Here is a 13,334-nt window from a genome sequence, read left to right as displayed (position 1 = left end):
AGACTGCGCCATTGCACTCCAGCCTGGGCAACAAGAGCAAAACTCCGTCTCAAAAAAAAAATAATAATAATAATTATAATAATTATAAACACACACGAACACACACACATTCAACCAGATATTAAAAACCTATAGCTAGCATTGTATTTTATAGTAAATACTGAATGCTTTCCCCTTAAGGTCAGGGTAAATGCAAAGATGTCCACCCTTGCCTAGGCTAGGACATCATCCTAAAGATTTTAGCCAGTGCAATAAGACAGGGGTGGGGAAAAGGTATACAGATTGAAAATCACACACACACAGAGCAGGAAGCACTGTGAAGGTGGAGGCAGAGATTAGAGTGATGCGTCTGCAAGCCAAGAAACACCAAGGATTGCTGGCAACACCGGGAGCCAGAAGACAGGCATGGCACATACTCTCCCTTAGAGCCTCAGTAAGGAACCAACCCTGCCAATGCTTGATTTGGGACTTCTGGCCTCCAGAAGTGTGGGAGAATAACTTTTCTGTTGTTTTAAGTCACCCCGCCAGTTTGTGGTAATTTGTTACAGTAGTTACAGGAAACTAATGCACTTCACCATGTTAAAAAAAAAAAAAAGGTAAATGAAATGTCATTCATCACAGTGTTGTTTGGAGTAGGACAAAACTGGACATATCAAGAGAATTGACTAAATGCAAGATGGTGGAACCCTATACAGTTGTAAAAAAGAAAAAAGCTCCTTATACCTTATACATGGATGTGCAATGTGCTTTGTAACAGTCCCAACAGGAAGGAGTGCCACTCTAAATGGGTGGGTTTATTTACAAGGGACATGTCACAAAGGTGTGGACGGAGTAGAGGAACTATGAGGGAGACTGCTGCAACCTAAGGCTCGGAGCACAGGTTCTCGCCCACTCTGTGCCCAAGGACAGCCTGGAAAGTTGCTTGGAAGGGAACACAGCCCAGTGAAGGAACCCAGCCAGCTCAACACAATCTCACAGGAAGGGGGCCAGATAATCCATCTCCTGACTTCACTCTCCTCCCTCCATCCCTCCCTGAGAAGCGCCCTGTGTGGTGGCCCATGCTATCAGCATATGCCCCACCTCTGGCCCCAGCAGAAGGCAGCATGAAGTGTGGTGGAGAGTACATCTGGAGGGGCATGGAAGCTGTCCAGCATAAACTTCAAGGTTAAGTTGTTTTGTTTTACAGCAAGGCACAGAACAGGGTATAGTGTATGTCACCATTTCAGTAAGAAAAACAGTATATTATATGCATTGATTACATGTGCATATCAGATCTGGACAGACTCCAAGAAAATGATTCTATTTGATGTTCTGGGAAGGGACTGGGTTGTCTGGGGAACAGGAGTCTGGTGGGGAGATTGTTTACTGTACACCATCTTATACCTTTGAATTTTAAGCCACACAAATGGTTCAAAATATTAACAGTTTATTTATATTCCAAAATATAAATAAACTTTAATATTTAAAAGTTCAATATTAATGGTCTTTACAAGGGAGGCCTCTGGACAGTGCATGATTATAATCAGTACAAGAGAAGCAGAACAATCCCTTCTGTGGACCAGCCGTGAAGGAAGACAAGAATAAGCATGCCCACCTGTCAGGTAATGCCTGCAGCACAGTGGGCATCAGCACCCCGGAGATAGCTTTGTAGAGGATGGAGTCACACACGCCGACAATGTTCACCACCGTGGAGGAGCCCAGCACAGGCAGCATGTGGGGCGGCATTCCTTGCCAAAAGTGCAGAAGGAAACTTTGAACCTGTATTGACCCACAGAGAGAAGAATCATGAGGTTACCCAGGGCCCTCCCAACAGAAGCTTGGGACTCCACCAAGGCCAACCCAGTCTACAATGCTGTCATCTACTTCCCCTGCGGCAGCAGAAGTCACCCCCAGCCTGCCATGTTGTAGGAGGCCCTGGGAGTTTCTCCTGCTTCAAGTCTTCCCTCTGCCTAGGCATGCAACATGCACACTGCTGGGGAACTGACTAGCCTGGCAGGCTGGGGTCTCCTCTGCCCCAAAAGATGAAGCACTTTCACCCCTCAGCGCCTTCAGTGCTTACTGAGGTCTGGGAAGAGTTTAAGGAAAGGAAGGTGGGGCATTGTTTTTAAAAAGGTCGGAGCACTAGTACTCACTATTCTTTGAGCCCACTGAACCTCAGGGGCCCCTGGGTATTCTGGGAAGGAAGGGAAAGGTATGGGAGTCGCGGGTAAAAGGAGTGTGGCTGAAAGGAGAGTAGGTGCCACACACACAAAATTCTGATTCAAATTTGTGCGTCAAAGATTGGGTCAAGTGCAAAAGTCTTTTCATATCAGAATTCTTCCATTTCCCAAAGCTCCCTGGCCAGTGGGTGCTATATGGGATGCTAGATGGTGATACCTGAGTGGTAAGCTATGTGGGCACATGAAGTGTGTGTGACTGACTTTTTAAAACTCCCCAAACCACTAGCAAAGAACCAGATTATAGCAGGCACCCAGAAATGCAATTATTACTATTAATATGATGATAGCAGGAACTTGAGCCACATTGTTACTGAACGAAGGGCAGAGTGAATGTCCAAAGCAGAGAACCCCTTGCCGCCTCCCCTACACCTCTGTCTTTTAGCTGTGGATTAGAAGTTGAGTAGAATAGGGGGTGAAGTGGTGGGAAAGGTAAGGGAAGTGAAGAGAAATAGTAGAAGATAGTAACTGATGTATATAATAACATTTGAGAAAATCTAGACTTCAGCTATCAGCTAACATCTGCAGCACATCTTCAGTTGGGGAGCAGCCCATCTCGAAGCTGGGGAACACATAACTGAATTTTTATACATTCCAATGGGTTTGACTTGGTTTCTGGATCATGTTTCCTTCTCTCCCCAACAGATGGGCACTCTTGAGTTCCACATGTAGCATTATCCACATCCCTGTTTCCCCAAATCAATCCTGATTTGGTGTGGGAGATAATTGAGTCCCTCTAGTCTAACATTTTGGGGCAAGTATTATTGCCATTAGCTTTCTTTTCTGGGGAGATGGAGTCTTGCTCTGTCACCCAGGCTGGAGTGCAGTGGTGTGGTCTCGGCTCACTGCAACCTCCGCCTCCTGGGTTCAAGCGATTCTCCTGTCTCAGCTTCCTGAGTAGCTGGGATTCTAGGTGTGTGCCACCACACCTGGCGAATATTTGTATTTTTTAAGTAGAGACGGGGTTTCGCCATGTTGACCAGGCTGGTCTCGAGTACCTGACCTCAGGTGATCTGCACGCCTCGGCCTCCCAAAGTCCTGGGATTACAGTGAGCCACCGCCTGGCCGCCATTAGCTTTCTTTATCGAGTACCTACTATATGCCAGGTACTTTGCTTAGGTTCTTTCATGTAATACTCATAATACTATAGCTGAGAATCATTACTCTTATTTGCAGAGATATTAGTTGTCCAAAGCCAGACAGCCAGTCAGGGTATGGCTGAGATAGAGCCTATGTCTGCCTTAGTCCTTCCACAGTCTCTCTTGTGGCATTTGTTCTTCACATGGTAACTGGGTTTCTACCCCATTGCTGAGGCCCATGTCTCTCCCTAGACTGCTGCCTACTTCCCAGCTTTCTGCCCCTGCCCTGGTAACCTGCAGCATCCTTCAGGCCCCTCCAAGGAGTAGGGCCTAATTTTGCTCTGAAAAGGCTGCCTCTGGCTAGTAGAGCCATGCCCCGACTCTAGCCTGGTGACTCCATCTCAGCCTCCTGTGAATAGGCTTCCCTGATGCCTACAGCCTGCCTGGACTTCCCTGTGGAAGTACAGGATGGAAGGCTTGGAGGATAAGGAACAGGGATAAAGGCATGCCCCTCTGACTTCCTAGGAGAGAAGTGGTGATTGCCGAAAACATGATCGTAGTGGTGAATGAAGTCAGGTCTGTAAATCGAAAAGACTTCAGTTAGAGTCCTGTTTATTCCCTGACAGTGGAAATACTGCAAAGTTTTCATCCAGATTGAAAATGAAAACAAAATCTGGAGGAGTGAAGACTGACTTGCAGGGTTCTAATCCTGGCTCCACTACTGAGGAGTATCATATCTCTAAGCCTCCGTTCCCCTTCTGTGAAATGGGGATAAAAGCAGTATTTACTGCATAGGTTTTGGTGAAGATTTCTAAAAAGTGCTTCTAGTGCTTGGCACATCATAGATGTTTAATAAAGGTTAGCTGTTATTACTACTATTATATCATGGAGGCACTACCACTACTGGGCTCAAGAGATCAGTGTCCTGCCCTAGGTGTTTGAGACTTTCTTGCCTATGTTTCTGAATGTCACCCAGCCAGGATCCCTACTGTGGCTCCGCTCACCTATCAAGACTTTTGTTCTGTCACTGAGACACCCGGTGGCTGACTATTAGCGTGGCCTGAGCCTGGAGATGTCCACGGCTTTTGGACAAGGTACTTGCCCTCCAGAGGACCCTCCACTGTCCCCTGATCCCAGCTCATTCCCTGGGCATCAGGCTCAGGTCAGGTCCTGGGCCTTCTTGTCTGCTCCTCTAACTCTGAGTAAGAAGCTCTGCCCAGCTGATTCTTGAGTTGACACATTTTGAATTCATTTGCCTTACTTAGCTCTTCTTGCAGGCAGCCGTACCCCCTTTTTTATATGAGCAGTCAATTTCTAGCAGAATGTCTAGAAAAGATCAGCTGTTGTGTGGATTTAAACAAATCTGTGCAAAATCAGTCTCCTCAGCAGGCATCTGTCTGTTTGAAGCCTGTTCAAGCTGCACTGGGAAGGCTGATCCATCCTCAGTTTGCTGAGTGGCTTTTGTAGAAGATGTATTCTCCAGTTTTAACATCCCTTTCTACTCTGCATTTTAGGTCATTTATTGTCCAATGATACTTGTTCCTCCAGGTGAGAAGGAAAAGGAAGGAGGGAGAATGGCCTTAGCTCAAGCACTAAGGCTTGGAAGTTAGGCATGAAATGGACAGATGCAGTGTTTCCCTGCAGAAGGTGGAGCTGACAGGATCTCCCAGTGGACTGGATCTGAAGGGTGAGGGAAAGGAGAGAATCAAAGTTTGTGGCTTAAGCAATTGGGTGGAGGGGAGTGGCAATCTAAGACCTGGGAAAAACAGATTTGGGGCAGAAAATTAAGAGCTCTGGTTTGGCCGTGTTAAGTTAAATTTCAAGTCAATTGAATCTGGAGCTCAGGACTAAACATATAACTCTCAGAGTTACCAGCATTTGTAAAATGAAGATAATGATGTCTTCCTACTATTAGGGTGAAATAAGATAGCTTATGTAAAATGCTTGGCATCGTGTAGGCATTTAACAAATGGAAACATTATTAGGCAGAAAGGAGAGTTCTGATAAGTTCTTACACCTTACAAGCATAAACAGTGAAAGAATCAGAGGCAAATGATTCCAAATTATTAGTAAAATTAAGTTTCCTGAGGTATCTGTTTCAATCTTCTGAACTCTCGGCCCTTTGTCTCTCAGCTCAGTGAAGTACTAGGAGATGATTTCCTTAGGAATACCAAGCAAATTTTCTATTTCTTTTTCCATGTTCATATTTAGTTCATTCTGAACATTGGCACCTTGTGGAAACACCTGTGATGACTTGCAATTGGGGTCCCTAAGTGTACCAGGCTTGGAAGGCTCTCAATAAAATAATTACAAAAATGCCTAACATCATATTCTAGAACAAAATCAGACACTTTACATACACAATTTCATGTTCACTATGAGATAGGTATAATTATTATTTTCATCTTGTAGCAAAACAAATCCAGGCTCAGAGAGGTTAAGTGCCTTGCTCAAGGTCACAGGCTAGTCAGTGGCAGATTTGAGACTCAATCACAAGACTACTGAACTTTACAGCTTATTGTGCAATGTAGTCTGGAGAAGACGTTCCCGAGTCCCCTACATGCAGATTTGCATTTTTTTTTTTTTTTTTGAGATGGAGTCTCACTCTGTCACCAGGCTGGAGTGCAGTGACGCAATCTTGGCTCACTGCAACCTCCGCCTCCTGGGTTCAAGCGATTCTCCTGCCTCGGCCTCCTGAGTAGCTGGGACTACAGGCACGCGCCACCACGTCCAGCTAATTTTTGTATTTTTAGTAGAGATGAGGTTTCATCATGCTGACCAGGATGATCTTGATCTCTTGACCTCATGATCTGCCCACCTCGGCCTCCCAAAGTGCTGGGATTACAGGCGTGAGCCACTGCGCCCGGCCTCAGATTTGCATTCTTTAATTGCTTGACAATGTTATAAGTCAATGGCATTTCTACACCTGTTCATCCATTCATCCACTCATTCACCCAACAAATACTGACTGACAGCCTAAAAGTATGGCTAGATAGGATATAGTAGTGAACAAGACAGATGAGCTTCCTGCCCTCAAAAGCTTACATTATAGTGGTAGAGACAAACAATGAACAAGTGAACAAACAAGATAATTTAGGACTGTGATACTAGCATAAGTTGTAACCTCAACTGATATTAAAGACTTGGAAGACTTGAAACCAACTGTAAAGTCAAGGTGTACCAGATACATCCACCATCCATTTACCAATGACTTTTCTCAGCTATAGGAGAAAGCCATCCTCATCAGAGGTAAAATGTCTCCCTTCATTATTCTGTGGCTGAGAAGAATTAGCTATCTTAAAAGCAGCCACCAAATATTCCTGCCAGTGGGGTGGAATTGGCCTAAGGGTGTGAGGTGACGAAGGACCTTGTCACACCTTTGGCCCTAACCAACTGTGTGACCTTGGCCAAATCTCTGAACACTCTGGTTGATACATCTGAAAAGAACAAGCATTTGTATGACCTTTTACAGTTTACAAAGAGCTTTTACCAGGCAGTCTTATCTCCTCCTTCTAGTAACACTATGAATTAAATAGATGGGGATGATTTTTTTAAATCTTCATTTCTAGGATGAGGAATTGAGGCTTGAAAGGCAGAGCCAGCTCTTGAATCCAAGCCTGGGACTTGAAGCCTGGCACTCTTTCCATAGCAGCATCTGCCCCTCAATGTTTCTGGACCTCTCACCATATATTCTGCATCCTAGTTGCTGGTTACATGCCTTCCCCCCATCCTATCAACTGTGTTTTACTTATCTCTCCAATAGTGTATGGGACCCAATAGGTGTTGGAATTAAGCAAATGAAATGAAATGAGAGTGAGTTTTGAGATGACTAAGCTACATATGAACATAAGGGGGGACTGCCACTAGTTTTGTTGTTGGTAACTGTGGCAGAGAGGAACAGCTGTCCCTTAGAGATTTGAGTAGTGTAAGCTGCTGCCCAGTGAGGGACCACACTCCCCAGCCCCCGCTGCATTAAGGTGGGGCCGTGGGACCAGCTCCCGTCCATGGAATATGGGCAGAAGTGCTATTTTATTTCTGGGCTGACAAGGATAAGTAGGGGGTATGCCTTCCTAGTAGTTCTTTTCCCCACCCATCAGCTGAACAAAGAGGACTCCAAGGTTCTAGGGCAGGGTGGAAGGAGCCTGAGTCCCTGAATCACCCCCCAGCAACCAGCCTTCCAACCAAGAACAAACGCACTGGATTGTGACATGGGTGGGAAATAAACCTCCAGTGTGCTAAGATTTGCAGAGTTATTTGTTACAGCAGCTAGTATTGTCTTAGCCAGTCACGAATCATTATTTGTCCTGATCTCAGTGATCTTTGGAATGTAAGATAGAGCCAAACCGCAGTTCGAAAGAAAGCAGGGAGTTTTCTTTCTTAAAAGAAAAAAATCACTGAAATTATTGCTCAAGTAATTTGGGACATTTTAAAGTACATTTTAGAAGTCTAGTGGATAAAAGTCAAGAGAAGGAAGAACAGTACTTCTTTACCAACACACTCCCATCTTGTCTGGAGCTGTGTCTGTGAGCAAAGTGATAGTGGAAGTGCTCAACAAACATTTACTCCTAAAGGACACAGCCGTGGGAAGGCAGAAAAGTACAGGAGAAGAGCATTTTGTACCTGACATCGTTTTTATATCCCTCCACCTACAACAGCACCCCCTTCCCACAACACACACACCAAAGGAATTTCTGGGATGTCTTCCATCAATAGCTACTGGGTTTTTTATAGTCCTTTTAGAGACCACATTGTCTTCCCTCAAAAAATAATAAAGTTATATAACTTTATTATTGGTTATTGTTCTCCCATCCTTTCTCATTTCCTCCTCTCCATTCTTTAACTACAATATTTTAAAATAAAATGGACTTCTTACATTGTTTGTATTTAACGATGGCCCTACTAATGGGATTTGATGGAAATCTATGGATCAGACCTTGGGAATGGAGGGTAACCAGCTCCAAATGTACCCAAGTGGACAAGCCTCAGGAAAAGCCTAAATATACAAAATAGAATAAAGCTTTTTATATATTTTTTCCAAAATGTAAGGAAGCTTTTCTTTAGCTTCTCTGAATCTATAATCCTGGGTTTAATGATATCCTGGCAAAATGGTCTTCCTAGTGTGCTGATAGGGCAGGAGGCAGTTCACCAGTTCAGTCAAAGGAGGAGGCCAAGCCCACTGCTATACACATGTATGGTCTATAAAATGGGGATAATAATCGTACCTGCTTCATGGGATCTCATGAGGATGAAGTGAGCTAATGGGTATCCAGGAAGGGCTTCCAGATGCCAGGCCTGGCACCTAGCAGGAGCTCATGAAATAGGAGCTAGTGTTACAAGATTTTTAATACCGAGTATTCACAGCTCAACCCTTGTTGACCTACCTCATCAAAGTTGGCTCTTATTACAGTGTCCAGTATTCTCTGACAGTGTGTTCTGTACATCATAATAAAGGTAGAAACCTGTGGGGGTGTGTAGAGGATCAACAACAAAGACATACATTAATACACATTGCTGCTGCCCTTGGACTTTCAGTTTTTAAGTCATTTCTTCCCTGTGGGGGGGATGCAATTCACCTAACACCGGCTCAGCCTACCAGACCCAGGTGAGACTGATTTTCATTAGGTGGTATTCTCTGACCCTTGGCTCCCTCCTCTGTGCTCACACAGCACGAGTGTGTTTCTCCCTGAGATACGGAATGCGCTGGTTTCTCCTCCTGCCCCCATTTTCCACCCCCTGAGACTGTGAGCTCTAGGAAAACAAAAATGGTATCTTATTCATGCTCATGTATCCAGCACTTAGCACAGTGCCTGGCACATAGAGCTAAGCAGGGTTATGGAACTAAATTCTCTTCATTGGCTGAGACCACTAGAAAGTTAAAATCCAATGTATAGTTATATGAAGAAGTGATTCTGCCTAAGTCACCATAAGACATTTGGAAATTCTCTGCAATGTGCTTAGCAAAAATAAAAAAAAAAATTAATCTCCCCCTCCATTTATCCAATAATTTTTTTATTTTTATGTTTTTTTCAATTACCTGAGAATTTTAAATCCATGGTGCAGGAAGTTCATTTGTATGTTTATTGACCAAAAAAGCAAATTTAAGAAAAAATATTTATCTATTTCTTAGATTTAATGTATCCTTTACAGATACAAGTTCATTTTCCTCATTTTAGAACATAGACATGCATTTTATATAAACTTAGTTTGACTTATACAAGCACTATCTCCCTGGTTGACTCTAAGCTTTCTGAAAGCAGGACTCATCTCATTCTTCACTGCATCCCAGATCCTAGTGTGACATGGAGACTTAGTAGAAGCTCAATACATGTTAGAGCAGCACTGGGTTGCATCAATAGGTGCATTAAAGATGTGATACTCGACTGGGCCCGGTGGCTCACACCTGTAATCCCAGCACTTTGGGAGGCCGAGGTGGGCAGATCATGAGGTCAGAAGTTCGAGACCAGCCTGGCCAACATGGTGAAACCCCGTCTCTACTAAAAATACAAAAATTAGCTGGGTGTGATGGCGGGCGCCTGTAATCACAGCTACTTGGGAGGCTGAGGCAGGAGAATTGCTTGAACCTGGGAGGCGGAGGTTGCAGTGAGCTGAGATTGCGCCACTGCACTCTAGGCTGGATGACAGAGCAAGACTCCATCTCAAAAAAAAAAAAAAAAAAAAAAAGAAATGTGATACCCCAAGGGAAACTTCCCCAAATTTATTTTTCCAGTAACTTGCTCCAAATATTCTATGATCAAAACTATCAGATTCACTATACCTATAAAATCTTCTTTGACTGTTAGACTATTATTTCACCAAATCCCCTGCAGCACATGGGAAAATGGACTTTATCCTGTGGAAAAGCAATTCAGAGGGGAGAGGTTCTTTCCTCATGAAATGAGACAGCATAAGATCATAGGACAGGTAGGTAGGTAGAAAGACAGAAGATAGATGATAGGTAGATAGACAGATAGGCATACATGATAGAGATTGACAGAGCAAATTTTATTTTAGAATAGTTTTGGATTTACAGAAAAGTTGTAAAGATAGTACTGGGAGTTCCCATATGCCTCACCCCAATTGTTAACATCTTGCATTACTAGGATATATTTGTCACAACTAATAAACTCATAGTGATAAATTGTTATTAACTATAGTCCATGCTTTATTTTGATTTCTTTTCTTTTTTTTTTTTTTTTGAGATGGAGTTTCGCTCTTGTTGCCCAGGCTGCAGTGCAATGGTGCAATCTTGGCTCACTGCAACCTCTGCCTCCCAGGTTCAAGCAATTCTCCCGCCTCAGCCTCCAGCTGGAATTACAGGTGCCCACCTCCACACCTGGCTAATTTTTTGTATTTTTAGTAGAGACAGGGTTTCACCATGTTGGTCAGGCTGGTCTTGAACTCCTGACCTCAAGTGATTCACCCACCTCAGCCTCCCAAGTGCTGAAATTACAGGCATGAGCCACCTCTCCTGGCCTGGATTTCTATCTTTATATTTTTAAACTCACGGTTTTGCAATAAATGTGTGTGTGTGTGTGTGTGTGTGTGTGTGTGTGTGTGTGTGTGAGAGAGAGAGAGAGATAGAGACAGAGAGAGAGAGAGAAAGAGAGAGAAACCACCCACCCCAAATAGTCACTTCAGTTGTAGTTACCTTCTCCTCAGGCAGGCTGGCTGGCAGATTTAGATCTTTGACATTGGGAAATTCTGGCAGCAGTGTTCCGAGTTTGGACCGGGGTGAATATGCCACTGTCTGTTTGCTCACTTCTTTCTTGCCCGTCTCACTCACCCAGGCAGCTCCTTTCTTGGAATACATCACATCATAATATTGGGAGCTTTCTTTCACTGCAATGCCATAGTAATGGTACCTGGGCCACAAGGGGAGGGAGGGAGAGAGAGAAAAAAAAAAAAAGAGAGAGACCCACATGCACTGTTATTAAGTGAGGTTTCCTGAGTAGGGAGTGTTGCCCAAGGCCAAGGAAAGCTGGGGCCATCCTACCTGGGGATAGAAGAGTTAACTCTCCTGTAAGGCTAATATCACTGAAATATAGAATTAAACCAAAGTGCCAGCCATCAATCAGGCAGGTAAAAATAACCAAAATTGCCTCCTACAGAAAACGTTAAGTCAAATACTTTGCAAAGCAGAGAGGGGATGAAAAATTTTCCATTAGTACTTGATCTCTCATGTCTAGCCAAATGGGATACCAGCACTTGAGGGTCCCTTCTCTGTGGGGACCCAAGCAGGATATGTTTGTGACTACTAACTGCACCTCTAATAAAAATTCATTTGGCCTGTGTTTTCCTTTTCTTTTTTCTTTCTTTTTCTTTTTTTTTTTTTTTGAGACAGAGTCTCGCTCTGTCACCTAGGCTGGAGTGCAGTGGTGCAATCTCAGCTTACTGAACCTCCACGCCTCCCGGGTTCAAGCGATTCTCCTGCCTCAGCCTCCTAAGTAGCTGGGATTACAGGCATGTGCCACCACACCCAGCTAACATTTGTATTTTTAGTAGAGATGGTGTTCCATCATGTTGGTCAGGTTGGTCTCAAACTCCTGACCTCATGATCTGCCCACCTTGGCCTCCCAAAGTGCTGGGATTACAGGCATGAGCCACCGCGCCTGGCCTTGGCCTATGTTTTTCTTAATCAATAAATGGTAGTCTCAAAGAACTGTATTTTTAAAAAGGTAAATTCAGTGCTTCAGTTGACACTGAATGTAAAGCGAAGACCAGAACTTTTTATTAACTCAAAATAGGCTTAATATTAGCAATGTTTTCAATTAAGACTAACAAGGGATTGGAGGCTGCATTTTGTTTAGATTTTAGCTATAATCTATTGAGCATTATATATTGGCTACATGCCAGGCAGTTTGCAAAGGACTTTGCATGCATTAATTTGTAAAATAACCAATAATGGAAATTATTACAGTCTTTCTACACATGAGAAACTGGAGGCAAGAAAGCTCAAATAATTTGTTTAAGGTCATATAGCTGTTTAGGGGAGGAACAGGTTCTTGAACACAGACAGGTCTTTTTGACTATGAAGCCACAGTGCTATCCTACTGAAAACACTGCAAGATAGTCTTATAAACTTTGATCTTATCAGAATCATTTTTAAAGTTTAATAAAAATACAGACTCCTGGGCCCTCTCTCAGTACCTACTGATTTAGAACATCTGGGAATGGGGCCCAGGAATCAGCACTGAATCAAGCACCATAGGGGTAATTCTAAAGCACATCAGTTTGAGATCTCTGGTACTGAGTGCTTGACACACATTATCTTATTTAATCTCACAAAATCCCCATAAAGCTAGAATTAATTATTATCCCCATTTTTATAGATAAGGAAACTAAGGCCCAGAGAATTTAAGTCATGCACCCAAGATCAGCCAGTGAGTAAGGAGCAGAGGCAGGATTTGAACCTCCCAAGTGCTTTGAACCACTAAGCCAGTGATTCTCAAACCTTACTACTACTAAGAATCACTTACAAAACATATTAAAATATCCCTGGTAGTCTAGTAGCTAGGACTAAAAGAAGAAGAAGAAAAAAAACCATTAAAATAGAGACTCCTGGGCCCTGCTCCCCCCTTAAAGACTCCTATTTAGTACGTCTAGAGTCGATTTTCACAGTCCCGTGGCAATACAAATGTTAGGTCATCCGTGGACCTCGCTTTCAGAAACACCGCACAACATATTAACTACTTTTCTCTACCCATGGAGATACAATGAAAGTCACAAAATCATACAGATGAGAAGGCATTTTGAATTATGGGAAGGGCTTTTGCGAGGAGGGAAGAGATGAGCACGTCAAAACCTTCCCTCTCCCCAACCCTCCTTTACTCCTGATACCATTCCGTGATATTTCTGCTTAGTGGGCATCTCGAATCTATCTGAATGCCTTCTGGGATGAAGAATTCAGACCCTCCGAAGGCAGCCCAGTTCATTTTGCCAGTATGGTTATCAGAAAATTCTTTGTGCTGAGCGAAGTCTGCCTTCTGTGCCTTCCGTGTCTTCTACTACTTCTCAACTGTCATAACTGCCTTCCCACCTG

At 43.6% G+C, this 13,334-nt stretch overlaps 1 protein-coding gene and 1 long non-coding RNA gene across 4 annotated transcripts in view; one reads left to right on the top strand and one right to left on the bottom strand.

Annotated features, from left to right (window-relative positions):
* Window positions 1-13,334, top strand: part of LOC100287944 (uncharacterized) — a 278,422-nt gene that overhangs the window by 76,791 nt on the left and 188,297 nt on the right. The window lies entirely within an intron of this gene.
* RFX4 (regulatory factor X4) overlaps window positions 1-13,334 on the bottom strand; it is a 179,800-nt gene that overhangs the window by 64,763 nt on the left and 101,703 nt on the right. For 2 of the 3 annotated variants that reach the window (NM_213594.3, NM_001206691.2), the window contains exons 6-8: window positions 10,944-11,157; window positions 8,677-8,754; window positions 1,595-1,758 (exon numbers count right to left, since the gene is read on the bottom strand). In NM_213594.3, the coding sequence (NP_998759.1) occupies window positions 1,595-1,758; window positions 8,677-8,754; window positions 10,944-11,157 (456 nt within the window). Of the gene's footprint in view, window positions 1-1,594; window positions 1,759-8,676; window positions 8,755-10,943; window positions 11,158-13,132; window positions 13,313-13,334 lie in introns of those variants that run through there. The other variant, NM_032491.6, reaches the window with a different exon arrangement.

Source organism: Homo sapiens, chromosome 12 (assembly GCF_000001405.40).
Source record: "Homo sapiens chromosome 12, GRCh38.p14 Primary Assembly".
Classification (NCBI taxonomy): domain Eukaryota; kingdom Metazoa; phylum Chordata; class Mammalia; order Primates; family Hominidae; genus Homo; species Homo sapiens.
The sequence above is the reverse complement of the archived record's forward strand: the minus strand, read 5'-3'. Positions and strand labels throughout refer to the sequence as shown.